The sequence below is a fragment of the Homo sapiens genome, chromosome 2, assembly GCF_000001405.40.
Source record: "Homo sapiens chromosome 2, GRCh38.p14 Primary Assembly".
In the NCBI taxonomy this organism is placed as follows: Eukaryota; Metazoa; Chordata; class Mammalia; order Primates; family Hominidae; genus Homo; species Homo sapiens.
Window position 1 is genome coordinate 113,576,897 of NC_000002.12, and position 16,331 is coordinate 113,593,227.

A 16,331-nucleotide genomic window follows, 5' to 3' on the forward strand; every position below is an offset into this window, starting at 1 on the left:
GAAGCAGGACAGGGAGGATGCCAGCACTTGGGTGGTAGAGGTTTGAGGAGTGCCTGTTGGGGGATGTGTTGGGGAAGGAGGACTTTTCACATATGGCTCATTGTGTCGGGATGATTTCGTTGTTAAATAAGCACCTACAGGATGATTTCACATTCCATACTTCTAAGTTTTTATAATTTAAATTCTTTCCGCCAGGCTGGGTTTTTTTTTTTTTTCCAAACTTTAAATCTGTGGCTAGAATTGGTTTGATTTACCTAATCCTGCCCCTGAGATTTAGCCCCATCCCTGAGAGCCCCCTCAGAGCCACCCACAGCCAGGACACCTCTGCTGGCCTCCCCTTCCCCAGCCTTCCAACTTGTGGCAGGCCCCCGGCTCTGGCCTCCCCCTATATGGGAATGAGCCAGCTGCACCGCTGCTGACAGTGGCTGGGATAATCCTCCCTGAGCTGTTCCAAGGATTAGTCCTGCTGCCCTGTGCCCAGCTCCCACACAACGGGGTTTCGGGGCTGTGGACCCTGTGCCAGGAAAGGAAGGGCGCAGCTCCTGCAATGCGGAGCAGCCAGGGCAGTGGGCACCAGGCTTTAGCCTCCCTTTCTCACCCTACAGAGGGCAGGCCCTTCAGCTCCATTCTCCTCCAAGGCTGCAGAGGGGGCAGGAATTGGGGGTGACAGGAGAGCTGTAAGGTCTCCAGTGGGTCATTCTGGGCCCAGAGATGGGTGCTGAAGCTCCCACGCCTGCCTGTGAAAATGGAGTCCTCTCTCACCTGGGAGAGCCAGGTGCTGCCCCGAGAAGGATGCATTTATGGCTTCATGAAGTCTTTCCTGACCCCCGATGCTGCTGACTATAGGTAAGTCTGAGCAAATCTGGGGGAGCCTCATCTTGGCATGAGAAAGAGATGGCTTCTTCTAAGCCCACTGGCCGTGATCCCAGGATTATAACACATTCTGGCTCAAGTCCAGACTATTTGTAGAACACAGGAGATCCTCCATGAGAGGTAGTATAATATAGAGGATATGTGTGCTTACTAAGAGGCTGCCTGTCTGACCTTGGACAAGTTCTTTTTATTTATTTATTTATTTTTTATAGAGACAAAGTCTCACTATGTTGCTCAGGCTGGTCTTGAACTCCTGGCCTCAAGCGATCCTCCCACCTTAGCCTCCCAAAGAGTTGGGATTATAGACATGAGCCACTGCACCTGGCCGACCTTGGGCAAGTTCTTAAACCCTTCAAAGCCTCATTTTTCTCCAATCATAAAAGGGAAAGATGGTAATATTTTCCCCTCCAAATTCTTGTAAGTATTAAACATTGTATATGTATTTTGAACACGATTAAGCTCTAAACACTTGTTAGGAAGCAGGAGTAGCATTTGAAACAAACAGCTCTTTTCCCACAGGTCGGATGCCCTCACAGAATTGAGATTATGTACGTAAAACACCAGGTGCCTAACCCGGCACAGAGCAGGAGGGCTAAGCGTGACATCCAGCACGTGGTCAGTGGAATCCAGTATTCCTACCCACCTCTCTAGTCTCCCCTCCACCCCTCTCCCTTTCAGAGGCACCAAGCTGCTTGTGGTCTTGTCTATTCCCACTCCCTGCCTGACTGAACATTTTCTCCACCTCCTGATCATCAGCAGCAGAAACTGGCTGCTCTTCCTCCTGGGTAGACAGCCAGACTGTATTTCCCAGCTGCCCCTGCAGTGAGATGTGGCCATCGGAGCCAGCATTGGCCAATGGACTCTGCATGGGAGTGACGCATGCTGCCTCCAGGCTTGTCCCTAAAACCTCCCACGTGTCCTCCGCCTGCTCTTCCCACTTCCAAGGAGCACGGCAATTGTGGAAGACCCAGATTAGTGATGGCAGAACCATAGATGGGAGGAACCTGGGTCCCTGACTTAAAGTATCATGGATTTGGATGTTCCCTTAGTGAGAAATAAACTTCCATTGTGTTTAAGCCTTTATTTGTTTATAGTTGGTTACAGCAACTGCCTTCTTTTAATTAAAACACTCCTGCTGCTTCATGTTGCTGGAATGCTTGTAACCCTGCCCTGCTTCACCAGGGTAACTCCTACTTGGCCTTTAAGTTTATCTCTGCTGTCACACCGTCCAGAAAGCCTTCTCCCAGCACCACAACCCCTCCACCAAGGGTTAGGTGTCTCCAGCAGATGCTGCACAGCTGGCTGCCCTTTGCCCACCCTCCCCTTCTTTCTCATAGAATCCTAGGACTCCTATGTATCTAGAAGGAGTTGTGTGGTCCAGTGCTGGCCAAGAAGATGTGAGAGCAAGTCGCTGGGTGGAGATTCTTAGGAAAACTTCTTAAAAAGAATGAGACTCTGGGCTCCTTTCTGCCTTTTACCATTTTTGTGTATGCTTGCCTTCTTCCCACCTGGGACTCTGATGCAGCACCTGTGAATGGGCACACATATTACAGCTCTTAGGCTGAAACCCACGTTCTCAGGCAGAGGTCTCTTGTGGGCATTTAGTGCTATAAATGTCTCTTTACACACTGCTTTAAATGCGTCCCAGGTCTTAGGGTATATACCCAAAGGATTATAAATCGTGCTACTATAAAGACACATGCACATGTATGTTTATTGTGGCAGTATTCACAATAGCAAAGACTTTGAACCAACCCAAATGTCCATCAATGACAGACTGGATTAAGAGAATGTGGCACATATATACCATGGGATACTATGCAGCCATTAAAAAGGATGAGTTCATGTCCTTTGCAGGGACATGGATGAAGCTGGAAACCATCATTCTGAGCAAACTATCACAAAGACAGAAAACCAAACACTGCATGTTCTCACTCACAGGTGGGAATTGAACAATGAGAGCGCTTGGACATGGGGCAGAGAACATCATACACTGGGGCCTGTCAGTGGGTGGGGGGCTGGGGGAGGGATAGCATTAGAAGAAATACCTAATGTAAATGACAAGTTGATGGGTGCAGCAAACCAACATGGCACACGCATATCTATGTATCCAACCTGCACATTATGCACATGTACCCTAGAACTTAAGTATATAAAAAAAAAAAGAAAAAAAACTTTCACCTTTTTCCAAAGTGTTGGGATTATGGATGTGAGCAACCACATCTGGTCCTTTTTTTTTTTTTTAATGGAGGTGAAATTCACATAAGTTTGACCATTTTAAAGTGAACAATCAGTGGCATTCAGTACATTCACCATGTTGTGCCAACACTATCTCTATGTAGTTCCAAAACATTTTCATCAGCTCAAAATGAAACCTTGTACCCATGAAGCAGCCACTTCCCATTCTCCCCTCCCCTTAGCCCCTGGAAATCGGCTTTCTTTCTCCACAGATTTACATATTCTGTATATTTCCTATAAATGGAATTACACAATAGGTGACCTGTGTCTGGCTTCTTCCACTTAACCTAATGCTTTTGAGGTTCAGTCACATGGTGCCATGGATCAGCTCTGCCTTCCTTTTTATGACTAATACTCCACTGTATGTCCATATCACCATTTGTGTATTCACTCATTAATCTATGGACACAAGCCTCATTTTTAAGCACTTCAAATATGTTAACTCACTGAATCCTCACCACAAAGACAGATTCAGTTATTACATATTGATAGAGTGAAAACTGAGGCACAGGTAACATGCCTAGGATCACGTGGCTATGAAGCAGAAAGAGGACTCCAGCCGAGGCAGTCTAGTCCCAAAGTCCTTCCCTTCCTAGTAACCACTATGCTCTCCTGCCTCTCAGAGAACAACCCACATAGCACAACACGAGGGCTAAGCTGTCTGGTCTGTCTGGTGAAGCTTCAAATGCTGTTCATTTCAGATAAGGGGAGGTTCCTGGGCTGCAGAGGCTTCCTAGAGGAGGAAGACCATGTAAGGTCTAACTCAGGGCAGGTCAGGATGGTGTGAACTCACTCTGAACACAGTCACCGATGGGTGTTTATGAAAACTGGCTCTGGAACTCCCACAGGGAAGGTTCTTATCTTTGCGTGCACAACACAGAGCCCTCTGGGTAGACTTCTAGACCCAGGCCTCTTTCAAATACATTAGAAACCTCAGCAAGATAAACTATTTTCTGTCTGGCTGCATCTGTCTATCTGTTTAGAGAGCAGGACATTTCCATCCTCCTCTCTCCAGGCATCCTTGGAAGTCTTTCCCACAAGCAAGACATCTTGGTGAAATTTAATGCTGCAGAGGGAAATGGTTTTCAGGAGAGAGGAGTCTGTTCCCGGAACTGTAGCACAAAAGCTAGAGGCTGAGTAGGAACATCTTAAACTAAGTCCTCAGTCTTATTTCCAGTTTTCTTCCTGTAGATCGGGGCTTAGGACACCCTGTCACATTTTCTTCACTCCTCCACCAGGAATTCCTAAAGTCCATGCTCTTGGATCCTGGCAAATCGAGGAGGCTGGGGGATGTGGCAAGCTTCAGCAAGACTGCCTGGGACCAACCCTGCAGCCTTAATTTCCCAGGCCCACTCAGCCCAGCTGGCCAGCAAAGGCAGGCAGGGCTTCCGTGTCCACACATGAGAATGACCTGCAGCTGTTCTTTGTCCAGGCTGAGGTCCAGGATTCCCATTGCAGCTCCTAGGAAATCTTTAAAATTAGGTCGGGGATGAGGCTGTCAGTAGATTAGGTAGGGAACTTTTATGAAGTTGAGGGTGAACCATCTGGAGGGTGAACTGGCTGGTGTGATTTAGAACTGGGGGTGGTGCCTAGCAGTGCATTTGTGAGAAGACACAGCCAGGCTTGGTATATGATGTGGTGTGTGTGTATATTCACAGGCATCGTGGAGCATATACACTTTTTTTGTGTGTGTTGAAATAAACCTTACAGATTACAAAGTACTTTTTTTTTTCCCTGAGACAGGGTCTCTCTCTGTCGCCCAGCCTGGAGTGCAGTGGTACAATCATAGCTCACTGCAGCCTCAATCTCCCAAGCTCAAGTGATCCTCCCGCCTCAGCCTCCCATGTAGCTGGGACTACAGGTGTGTGACACCATGACTGGCTATTTTATTTTATTTTTGTAGAGATGGAATCTCACAATATTGCCCAGGCTGATCTCAAACTCTTGGGCTCAAGCAGTCCTCTCGCGTCAGCCTACCAAAGTGCTGGGATTACAGGCATGAGCCACCACGCCCAGCCAGATTACAAAATACTTTGACATCTTTTCTCTACAGCCCTCAAAAGGAGGCAGGGCAAGCACAATTAAATCCCATTACAAATGGGGTGACTGAAGCTCCATTCATGGCTTGCCCAGGGTCACACAAAGAATGAATAGCAGAGCCCTGAGCCTGTGTGCTTCCCTCTGTGCCAGGCTGCTTTACCCAGGCATGGGTGCACCTTGTGCATGGGACATTTCTCCTTTGTTGTGTCCTGAGTACCTTAAGCCACTCAGATATTGCTCAGGTGGAGTGAGGGGAAAATGTTTTCAGGTTGTATTAGTCAAAACAAAATACCACACACTGGGCGACTTTAAAATCATACATTTATCCCTCACAGTTCTGGAGGCTTGGAAGTCCAAGTTCAAGGTGGCAGCTGGACGGGTTCCTGGTGAGGGCTCTCTTCCTGGTTTGCAGACAGCCACCTTCTCTTCGCATCCTCACTTGGTGGGAAAAGACAGAGGAGAGAAAGAGAGAGAGAGAAATGAGATAGAGAGAGAGAGAGAAATGAGATAGAGATAGAGAGAGAGAGAGAGAGAGAGAGAGAGAGAGGGAGACAGAGAGACAATGCTCTCTTTTCTTACCAGATCTATAATGAGGGCCCCACCCCATGACCTCATCTAACCGTAATTACCTACCAAAGGCCCATCTCCACATACCATCACATTAGGGGTTAGGGTTTCAACATAAGAATTTGGAGAGGACATAAACATTCTGTCTACAACATGAGTGGAGATCCATCTCTTCCTTACCTCTGGTAAGGGGACCACACGCTGCAGCCAGTGAGACAGTGGCATGTTCTTGTTACAACTCAATCTAACTCCCCCAGAAGAGGAGGCAGGGAAGGCGGACAAAACTGGGAGAGGGAGAGAGTGTTAGGAAGAGAGTAGGGTGGCCAGAGGCAGCAAATAAAATATAAAATGCTTAATTTTGAATCTCAGATAAACAACCAATAATGTTTTTTAGCATAAGTATGTCCCAAACTAAGCTTGGGAAATATTTATGCTACGAAATTATTCGTTGTTTATCTAAAATTCAAACTAGCTGGGCATCCTGTCTTTTAATCTGGCAACCCTAAAAGGCAAGAGCCAAAAATGCCGGAGGGAAGCCAACGGATTCCAGGAGGGACAACTGCTGGACTTTGGACTGATGATGCTCTTTTTATATATTTAACTTTTTAAAAAAGCCTCTTTTCTTTCTTTTTACCAGCTTTTCACTAGCTTTTTAAAAATTGGGGTAAAACATACATAACCTAAAATTCACCGTCTAAACCATTTTTCAGCATACAGTTCAGTGGGATTAAGTAGATTCACACCGTTGTGCCGCCATCACTACCACTCATTTCCAGCACCTTTCCATCACCCCAGCCTGAAACTCTACCCATTGAACACGAGCTGCCCAACTCCGCCTTGCTTCCCCATTCCTGGCGACCACTGCTTCTGTCTCTGTGAATTCTGACTACTCTAGGCACTTCACAAAAGTGGACTCATACGATATCTGTAGTTTTGCGTCTGGCTTCTCTATTTAATTCTTAAAGGGGGGTGGGAACTAAACAGATCACAAGGGAGCTGCCCACAGAGGTAAAGACAAGGTCAGATAGGCTGAGAGACGCAGGAAAGCGGGTCAATGTGTAGGGCTGGAGGGCAGGGGCGGGCCCTGGGCCTGGGCTGGGGGTCCTGCCCCGGGGCGCACCCAGGGCGAGGGCTGCCCGGAGGAGCCGAGGCTGGCGGACAGCTTGGCCCTGAGCTTGAGGGGAAGGCAGCGATGGGACAAAGGACGGAGGTCTAGGAAGAGGGTCTGCAGAGCAGAAAGCACGGGTAGGGGCGGCCTGACGCTCGGAAGACAACGGATGGGAGCCGTGTGCACGTCGGGAGCTCGGAGTGAGCGTGAGTTCCGTGCCCAGGCCCGCGACTCGGTCCACCAGGACAGCGCTCCGGGTCGACGGGGTCCTGGAGCCGCGCTCGGGGAGGGCGCAGCGGAGGGTGAGCGGCGGCGTTAGGACCCGGAGGCGCGGGCGGAGGTGGCGGGGCTAGGACCCAGCGGCTCCGGCAGAGCGGAAGCGGCGGCGGGAGCTTCCGGGAGGGCGGCTCGCGGGTGAGGAGGCGTCCGGGGCCGCGGGAAGTAGGGTCGTGGGGGCCTGGCGGGGCGAAGTAGGGGACCCGGAGGGGCTGGAGGGAGGCGGGCGGGAGGCCCGGGACCGTTCCTGACCGAGAAGCCTGCGCCAAGCTGGTGTTCCGCGGCCGCTGCCCGGTGCCCGGCTCCACTGCGAACGCCGCCGCTGGGCCCCGACCGCCCGGGAGGCGTCTTGGGCTCGCCCCGGAGCTTCCTCCCTGGAGCCGCGCCCTGCACCCGGCCTTGCCCGGCCCTAGCAGGGAAGCCAAGGCTTGTGGGGCGCAGGGACCCGGGCTCTGCGGGGTCCCGGTTCCGCCTCCCCACTCCTGCGTCTTCCCGCCCCGGCCGGGTTCTGGGAAGCCTCGCGCGGCTCTTCCGCAGCTGCTGCCCGCCCGGATCTCCTGGTCCCTCGTAGGGGACCCCACTTCTCTGACACCGCGTTGGGTTCCCGGGGCCTACAGCGAGGCCTGTAACTCCGGGAGAGACCCTGGAGCGGGGTGTGGGAGAACGGTCTGGAGGAAGGGCTCCGAGCACTTCGAAAGTATAAACCGCGGTCCCAAAGAGGCGTGCTGTGTCTGCATTTTCCTGGGAGTGCACGGTTTACATTCTGTAAAGCAGTGCTGTCGACTAGAAATTTTGTGCGATACACATGTACAAGTTTTGTCACTTAAAAAGAATTTGAAAAAACTTCATAGATGCAAAAAAAAAAACCCACCATTATTAAAGAATACTTAGGCATTTGTGGAATGCATTGAAGAGTTAACAAAATGGATAGGCAGGAAATATCGCAGACCTAGAGTGAATTACAGTTACCCACTGTGGAACTGAGGAGCTAGGGTTTCTCATAAAACTCCCTGATAGGAGACGACTTTTGATAAAAATTTTTTTCCGCCAACAAAATCCCCTGTCTTCTCCACTAGTTATTGTCTGTCCACTAAATAAGAGGTGGTCCGTCACTTCTTCAGATGAGCAACTACAGGCTTTTCAAAAGATAATTGCTAATCAACCCCTTTGTGCCTGGGTTTTCTTATTTGTAAAAATAGATACTACTACCTAACTCCAAAGTGTGTGGTGAAGACAAACAACTGGGGTGATGTATACTAAAGTAACGAAAGTGTTGACCACACACTACGGGCTGGTTAGTGTTAGATTCCCTTGTTTTTCCCTCAGTATCAAAAACAGATCTAATTTAGGTTTACATAAAGACAAAGTATGAAGATAAGGTGACTTACAGTTGGTACTACTAACAAAATGGGCTAAGATTTGCATTATTGCATGAAAACAACAAAACATATCAATAAATAACAAAAAGCTTGGAATTCAGACAACAGATCAAGTCTGGGCTTGATCTCAAGCTAGTGTTTTGATGTTGAAAAAATGTTATTTGGTCTTTCTAACCCCATTTCCTTATGTAAAATTGGGGATGATAAATTCACTGATAATAAGAGTTAAATGAGATTCTTGAGGACTCAGAATGGTTCTAACGTGTAAGTATTAGCAGTCATACTGTAGCATAAGAAAATACCGTCTGCTGAAAGAGGAACAATAAAGATTATCTACATGGTCATCATTTAAAAGCTACCAGATATAGGAAGAAGGGGCCATAAAATGATAACGTTATGATGATTAATTTTGATGCTTAGGTCAGAGTCCATTCTAGGATATCTGCTGCCCAAAAACAGCAGAGACTCATTTCTTTGGAATCACAGGACGCTGAGTGAGAGGAAAGAAAAAGAAAAGAAATATTTAAGTCACATATGTGATTTCTAAAAGTAAAAAGAAACAGATGAAATTAGTAATATATTTTTAAAATCCAGTATATCCCAAGTATGGTTATTTTAGCATGTAATCAATATAAAATAATAAGATATTTTACATTCTTTTTTTCTAGTCTTTGAAATTTGGTGCATATTTTACACTTATGGCACATCTCAATTCAGACTATCCACATTTCAAGTGCTCAGTGGCTGCATGTGCCTGGTGGCTACCATATTGGACAGCACAGGTCTAAGGATTTCATTCCTGCCACAAGTCCAAACTCCTAGCTTTAATTTTGAGTGTTTTTAACAAACTGGCCTCTGTTTATCATTCTTTCTTCTAGTACTTCCCCAAGGATGATTGTACCCTCAGCACTCAAGACCGCTTGCGGTTTCCCTACACACTTTTTGTTCAAGCTGTTTCTTTTACCTGGAATGCTGTCTTTGCACCTTCTTCCTGGACCTGGTTCACTCTTGTTGCCTAGGCTGGAGTGCCATGGCGCGATCTTGGCACACTGCAACCTCCACCTCCCCGGTTCAAGTGATTCTCCTTCCTCAGCCTCCCGAGTAGCCGGGATTACAGGCATGCACCACCACGCCTGGCTAATTTTGTATTTTTAGTAGAGATGGAGTTTCACCATGTTGGTCAGACTGGTCTCGAACTCCCGACCTCAGGTGATCTGCCTGCCTTCGCCTCCCAAAGTGCTGGGATTACAGGCGTGAGCCGCTGCGCCCGGCCGAGAGGCACACATTCTGCTAAGAGCTTTTTCCTGACTCCCCTAACTCCAAGAGGGATTTGTCACTCCTTAGCTTTGTACTCATGACTGGAGTAGAATGAATTTAATTTGAGTTTAGTTGTTTTTGAGACTCTCCCTGGCTAGTGTAGTGTCTTATTCGTCTTTGTTGTGATCATGGCCTGCACCTAACAGATGATCAGTAGATGTTTGCAGACAGAAAGTAAACCACTCATCAGGTGTATTCAGTCCCGTTCTTGAACGGGCTTGCTGCCTCCTTTTTGAGGAGATCTGTGTATGTACTCTTCTTTCACGCATATGTGTGAGCAAACACACACACACTAACAAGAAATTCATCTGAAGATGTGCACAGGAAATATCTTGCATCTTTACCCCCTTTGTGATCTTACATATGGGAGAACTGAGGCACAGAAATAAGTTAGGACAGCCAGCAAACTTGCATCAGTATAAATACAAAGAAGGGAAGGGAGGAACATGCTTGAAAGGGGTGTGCTGGTCTCAGAGGGTTAGGTTTCTCAGTTGGCTGGGCATCAGCTGGCCATGCTTTAGTTATTTGATGGGAGGAAAAATAAGTGGGAGGTGAGGAGTAACTCCTGGGCTCTGATGAGTATTATAGGCAAGTACAGATCTGGAAAGCCTGTATGCAAAGGAGGAACTCACTGAAAAGTGCTGGCCTGAGGAGGGCAGAAGGGAGGGCTGGGGAAGCCAGCAGGGGGAGCAAAGGAGTAGGCTCCAGCTGGGTGAAGATGTTGGTGTGGTATGTTATGTAAAATATACAAATTATTATTGGGAATAACCACGTCTCAGCAGTGCGAGTTCTCAGTTTGAAGAATGGGAAATGGAAAGGATCAGATTCAGAGACGGCAACTTACTCAAGGTCACAGCATTTTAAACCCAAATGAAATCTCCTAGGCCCTTCATGCCACACTCATCCATCCCTACCTACTTGTGTTGCAACCAAGGGCCCCACTGTAGTGCCTAGGGGAGCAGGTCTAGGGCATAGTGCCAGGCCTGATTAATGTCTTCCTTACCATTTTCCAGCGAGGGGCTGTGATTAGGCCTATTTATAGGGGCCTGGTCCCTTAATATTCTGCCTGGTGCATCTCTTGCCAATCAAATCAGTGCTGTCTGCAGTGTGATTGCTGCTTTAGTGGCACCAGGGAGAGGAGTTAATTAAACCCAATATAAATAGACTCTGCCCTCACTGTGCAATTCCAGGAGTGTTTTTCCTTCCTGTCCTCTACCCCCACAGGCACCTCTTTCCTCTTGGCCCCCTAAGCTCTAGCCTGGGTGAGCAGGGCTGGATACTCCTATACCTAGAGTCACTAGCCACTGCCCAGTCTGTTTCAGGAGCAGGCCTCAAATTCCTCAGGGGTTAAAGTGGGAAGAACCCGTGTGTGCGCATTTTTTGTGCTTTTCCAGAACTGGGTACCATTTGGCAGTTGATCACGCAATCTCCCCCGCTACCCCATTTCTACCCCTTTGTTTCCAGCCTCTTCTTTCCTCTGCAACCAAGGTTTCTTGTTTATCCAAGGTGGGGAGCTGAACTGAGACAATGTATGGAAAGGGTGCCTGGCAGGTAGCAAGCACCTTGTAGGGGGTCAGAAATGTTGCACCTTCTCTGAACTCCTCCATTGACCCTACAGATTCCCCAGTCCCTGGCCCTGCCCTTTCCCTCATTCACTCAGCAGGCATCAGCAGAGTCCCATCTATGCGCTCCTGGCCTCTCAGCAAATGCTCTGTCCCCTACTCCCCTATCTGTGCAGGCTGAAGCTATGTGCATAGTTGGGATGAGGGCTGTGTTGTCTCAACACCACGCTGCCCTGTGGTGGGGGCGTGCCGGTGGTCGTGGGTGGCTCTGATGCTCCGGCTCCGACCCACAGGCACCATGACTCCTGTGAGGATGCAGCACTCCCTGGCAGGTCAGACCTATGCCGTGCCCCTCATCCAGCCAGACCTGCGGTGAGAGGAGGCCGTCCAGCAGATGGCAGATGCCCTGCAGTACCTGCAGAAGGTCTCTGGAGACATCTTCAGCAGGTGGGTGCTGCCACTCACCCCCACCTGATGAGAGGGCCATCCCTGTCCTGGGCAATCCCAGCAACACACCCTCTGGGAGCAGCCCCCTTGGGGAATCCCGGTCCTGGGGAACCCATCTGGCTTCCCTGTGTGGGAGGGGCTGAAGTGAGAGCCCAACTTGGAAGCTTTTACTCCTGGGAGTCCGAGAGCTCACTCCCTTCCACCCCACTTAGCCTCCTGGTTTCCTGTGGTGGCTCTGCTCTCACAACTCATGCTTTTCCTCCCATTGGAGGGCCTATTCCTTCACGTTTTCCTGCAGCCAACAAATATTTACCCAGTAGTGCTCGTGTGCAAGGCAGTGTGGGAATCTCTATATATCCAGCCACGGATAAGGCAACATACCTCTCCACCTGGAGCGCACATTCTGGCAGGAGAGAAAGACCTAAATAAGCAATAGATGATTAGTTCTTCAATAACAGTTGTGACAAGGTCTATTGATAATATTTTGTAATCACTAATATTCATATAAACCGTGCACCACCATTGATTTGAGTGCATTAACTCACACTTCATGAGCAGGCACTGCCGTCATCTCATTTTATAGATGAGGAAACTGAGGCACAGAAAGGCTGAGAGACCTGGCCTAGTGACAGAGCCAGGATTCAAAGCCATAGATCATGGTCCTGGGTTATGTAGGTTATTACTGCATCTGTTCAGGGGAGATGGGGTACTGTGAGGCTCGTCATGGGAAGCCTGGCTTGGTCTCAGGTCAGGGAAGGCAGATGTGAGGAAATGACATTTATGGTAAAGTCTGAGGGTTGAGTGGGTAGGTTGGGAAGAACATTCCAGAAAGAAGCACATGAACTACAGCCTGGAGGTGGAGGACCTAAAAGGAAGCCAGCATGGCTGGAGCACGGAGTGGCCATTGAGGGAGGCGAGCTGGAGGGCTGCAGCTTCTTGTATTGGCAGTGCTGACCTCGCACAGTCCTTGGGCTCCAGTGACTTCACTCAGTGTTTATCTAACATGAGTGAGTGAATGGTGTTTGCTGTTTTTTTGGCAAAGGTCCCAGGGGTTGTCGGGTACACAGGTCCTGTCTTTGGCCATAAGCAAACTGAAATGAGGCTTGGTCTCCTTCCCAGGATTCCACACCATGCCTCACATGGTAGACCCCAGCGGGAAGTATGTGACTGCCTGACTCAGGTGCCTCTCGTGGTCCAAGCCATCCCTGCCCTGTCCCTTCCCTGGTTGTTGCCAGACCTGGAGCCCCTGCTCCTTCGCTTTGCAGCCTCCTCTTCTGTCACCAACTGGGAACCCACTTCTTCCTGAAAGTCCTCCCCCACGGACTCACCGGCTTGCCCCAAGCTTGTCAAGAATGTCCCAGTAACCAGGGGACACACACTGAAGTGACTGAGGGGTTACCTTGGAGTTGATGCCTTGGCTCAGATCCAGCTCCCCTGTTTTCTTCCTCTGTAACCTTGGGCAACCCAACCCCTCTAAGCCTCGGTGTTCTCATTTGTGAAGTTGTGGTAATAATGGTAGCTTCCTGGTAGAATTATTGTAAATATTAAATTAATCAAAACATGCAAAGGAATGGAACAGTGCCTGGCACCTAGGAAGCCTTCAGGAAATGCTATCTCTTCCCTGTTGATAATCTTGACCCGTACACTGCCTTTGGTTGCCATTCATGAACCTGCCACCAATAGTAACAAAGTGCTGGATGCACCTTTTGTGCTTATCTTTGTGCTAAATGTGCCCGAGGGAAGCCTAGGGAAGAGGATGCAGGTCTTTAAGAGCCATCAGCTCCAGATTATGGCCACCCCATGTCCAGCACTTAGAATGGAGGCCAAAACCATTCCCTCGGAAATTGTGTTTCCTTGCCAAGATGGGGACTGCGTGGTTGCCCTTCTCTGAGGGCAGCGCTGGATTTTTGGCGTCTTTCCTTTCCTGTCCTGGTACTTGGCACCTTGTAGACAGTTGCATGTCCCCTGCCCAGGGATGGGATGAGGAGAGGGCAGGAAGGCATTTCCTGGGTAGTGGAGTGCTGCGTTCATTGAGTGTGGGTTCTCCAAGCTGCTGGCACAGCGCAGGGAGGGCCAGATGCCTCTCAGGAGCCTTGGGCCTGAGTCCTGGCTCCCTCACTCCTGGGTTCCAGGTCACTGCATCTGTCTCTCCACCATGTGCTCCACCTCGTGCTGGACCTTAAGAGATACCAATTATGTGGCTGCCACTGTGTCCTAGAGGCTGGAATGGGAACACATAGGGCGAGATTGATTGTTAATTGCTAGCATGAACCGCGTGGGCTTCTCAGGGTCTAGAGTGGAGAGAAATCGGTAAGAATTGGTGGCACGCCTGTCAGAACTCCCCAGACCAAGCTAAGCAGAAATTAACCAATCAGTAGAGCAGCCTTCGGAGTAAGGGCTAAAATGATGTCCTCAGGGCCTGGTTTTGCTTTCCTTCCATGTCAGTTTGCTTCTTTGGGTCTGGCTGCATTCCCAGACAGGCCATGCTGTCGTGGTAGCAAGGTGACATGACACAGGGTCAGGTCCAGCAGGAAAGAATGCTCTCCTGTGTCCCCACTTCCTCCAGAAGCCACACTCACCCATCCCACCTGGCTTGGTCCTCATGTCTATCCCAGAATCCATTACTGGGGCCAGGGGACTATGACACAACCACTTGGCTTAGACTGAGGAGCTCTGTGGGCAGCCCCACCTGAAGCTCTGGGACTAAGCCTGCGAGAGAGATGGATTCCCCAAGGGAAATGGGGCCATTGCTTGAGTAAAAAGGAAATAGTTGCTGAAGAGGAAAACCACGTGCTTACTCCACACAGGGCAGACTCCTGGAAGAGGGGGGCAGGGTAGGGAGGTGGATATGCAGGTTGCCCTGGTGGGGTCTGGAAATGGGGGCCGCAGGCTTGGAGGGAGGCCTCAGTGTGGCTTGGAACGTGGTGTATGGTGGTCTGCCGCGAAGGCCGGCCTGCACAGGGGTGGGAGGGGGGTGCTTCTGCATGGGAAGCACAGACAGCGCTGCCTCTCCCTTGCACTCAGCTCTCGGGGCATGAGAGGCTGACTTTCCGTGAGCCTGTGGGCCAGGCCTCTTTGAATGGGGCTGAGGGAGCTTTGCCCTGGTTCCTTTGTGTCCCCACGGTGCCACGGGAGGCTCCCTGGCAGGGTGTGGGGCAAGGCAGTGAGTGAAGAGTTGGGATGAGTGAGTTAGGGCCCACGGATTACTCAAGACAGGACTTCACGTTGATTCAGGAGTGTTAGGGAGCTGTGATTGGATTTTGAGCAGGGCAGGGATGGGACAGAAGAGTTTGGGGAAGGTTCCTCAGGCATCCGTCACGGAAGGGATAAGAAGGGAGAGAGAGTGGATGCCGGGGACACCCAGAAGCTGTTATTGTAGTCAGGATGTGACAGGGGTGAGGCTACAGACAGGGGACTTGCAAGCAGGGAGGGCAGGGTGAGACATTCAGAGGAAACGACGACAGGAAATGGTGACAGATAGGGAATGAGGATGAAGGGAAGGGAGAGCCAGTGACGACTGGCAGTGGAGTGGGGAGCACCGCCACCTCTCCTCCTCCACTTGCCCCTCCTGTGGCACTGGACAAGTTAGTGGGCTTTTCGTTGTCCATGGGCTTTTTTGGTGGGGATGTGACCAGCTTTGAACCCTTCCCCTTAAACATGCTCCTCCTGCACGGAAGAGACAGGGGCAGGGGAGAGACTCTCTCCCCACCACCCAGCTCAGGCCCCAGCACAGCCCGGCTTCTGGCCTCACTGGCGTCTGTGCCCAGTGACGCAGGCAGGTGAGCTCCTGGCAAATTAGCATTGCAGGCTGTGCTCTCTCCTCCTGCTCTGCTGCAGCTGGGAGTGTGCAGAGACTGGAGGGGATGACAGTCACCCCTCTGTTTTCTGTGGTGGCTCTGTTTTCTGTGGTGCTGGATGCACCTCTGTTTTCTGTGTTGGCTCCCAGAGAGTGCACGGTCCCTGCTGATTGAAAGAAGGATGAAGGGCAGAAGAGGGGCGGGGAGCTGTGTGCCCTAAGATCTCATTGCCTTTTTATGCCGATTAACATGCTTTTAGCCCCTACTGAGCTTATAGTTAACAGAAGTTTCCAGGTCTTTCTTCACCTGAACTGTGTCTAAAGCAAGTTCCCTCCACCTTCTGTATTTATACGCTTGATTTTTAAAACCTAAATGGGCTTCACATTTATTCCTTGTAAATTTCATCTTGGTGATTGCAGTCTACCCTCTGGCCTTTAAAAATTGTCTGAGCCTTGATTCGATCATGAAACCAGCTTACCCTTCCCCTGTGTGCTGGCCCCAGTTTTCTAACCAGGTGTTGAATGAACTGCCAGATCCCTCCGTGCAAGGCTGGAATCAGTCCATTGTTCAACTGTGCCCTTTGGGGCTGTGGTTCATTTGGCTCTGATTTTTCCTATATGTTCTCTCCTCCAACCCCCATAGCTCCATCTTGTCTACAAGATTTTGTTAGAAGCCGTCAAAATCCTGCTGACTCGAGATGCACTGTGCTGCATGTTTTCCCCGGGCA

The 16,331-nt window shown here is 49.8% G+C and overlaps 2 long non-coding RNA genes, 1 other non-coding gene and 1 pseudogene across 5 annotated transcripts in view, besides 5 other annotated features; 2 read left to right on the forward strand and 2 right to left on the reverse strand.

Annotated features, from left to right (window-relative positions):
- Positions 1-501: an enhancer, noted in NCBI's record as "H3K4me1 hESC enhancer chr2:114334474-114334974 (GRCh37/hg19 assembly coordinates)". NCBI's record gives its function as "activates a minimal SCP1, AML or CMV promoter by ChIP-STARR-seq in primed H9 embryonic stem cells {active_cell/tissue: H9 hESC(primed)}" and the evidence as "EXISTENCE:reporter gene assay evidence [ECO:0000049][PMID:30033119]".
- Positions 486-1,956, forward strand: FAM138B (family with sequence similarity 138 member B). The gene is made up of 3 exons (NR_026821.1): positions 486-846; positions 1,086-1,290; positions 1,393-1,956. It is a non-coding gene; the product is annotated as a family with sequence similarity 138 member B (long non-coding RNA).
- LOC124907875 (uncharacterized) lies at positions 1,296-7,150 on the reverse strand. Of its 2 annotated transcripts, XR_007087204.1 has the most exons (3): positions 5,899-7,134; positions 5,472-5,589; positions 1,296-2,401 (listed from the first exon to the last, which is right to left on the reverse strand). It is a non-coding gene; the product is annotated as an uncharacterized LOC124907875 (long non-coding RNA). The 2 variants fall into 2 exon arrangements; XR_007087203.1 differs by lacking the exon at positions 1,296-2,401 and having other exon boundaries at positions 3,101-5,589; positions 5,899-7,150.
- MIR1302-3 (microRNA 1302-3) lies at positions 6,063-6,200 on the reverse strand. The gene has a single exon (NR_031632.1). It is a non-coding gene; the product is annotated as a microRNA 1302-3 (primary transcript).
- Positions 6,501-7,332: an enhancer, noted in NCBI's record as "H3K27ac hESC enhancer chr2:114340974-114341805 (GRCh37/hg19 assembly coordinates)". NCBI's record gives its function as "activates a minimal SCP1, AML or CMV promoter by ChIP-STARR-seq in naive H9 embryonic stem cells {active_cell/tissue: H9 hESC(naive)}" and the evidence as "EXISTENCE:reporter gene assay evidence [ECO:0000049][PMID:30033119]".
- Positions 6,734-6,913: a silencer, noted in NCBI's record as "silent region_11883". NCBI's record gives its function as "represses an Ori minimal core promoter by ATAC-STARR-seq in GM12878 lymphoblastoid cells {active_cell/tissue: GM12878}" and the evidence as "EXISTENCE:reporter gene assay evidence [ECO:0000049][PMID:35858748]".
- Positions 6,757-16,331, forward strand: part of WASH2P (WASP family homolog 2, pseudogene) — a 15,385-nt pseudogene continuing 5,810 nt past the window's right edge. Inside the window, exons 1-2 of the transcript NR_024077.2 lie at positions 6,757-7,032; positions 11,654-11,807. The product of NR_024077.2 is annotated as a WASP family homolog 2, pseudogene (transcript). The remainder of the gene's footprint in view (positions 7,033-11,653; positions 11,808-16,331) is intronic.
- Positions 6,924-7,108: a silencer, noted in NCBI's record as "fragment chr2:114341397-114341581 (GRCh37/hg19 assembly coordinates)". NCBI's record gives its function as "represses an EF-1alpha promoter that drives an FKBP-Casp9 reporter gene in an ReSE screen in phorbol 12-myristate 13-acetate-treated (for megakaryocytic differentiation) K562 erythroleukemia cells {active_cell/tissue: K562(+PMA)}" and the evidence as "EXISTENCE:reporter gene assay evidence [ECO:0000049][PMID:32094911]".
- Positions 15,178-16,035: an enhancer, noted in NCBI's record as "H3K27ac-H3K4me1 hESC enhancer chr2:114349651-114350508 (GRCh37/hg19 assembly coordinates)". NCBI's record gives its function as "activates a minimal SCP1, AML or CMV promoter by ChIP-STARR-seq in naive H9 embryonic stem cells {active_cell/tissue: H9 hESC(naive)}" and the evidence as "EXISTENCE:reporter gene assay evidence [ECO:0000049][PMID:30033119]".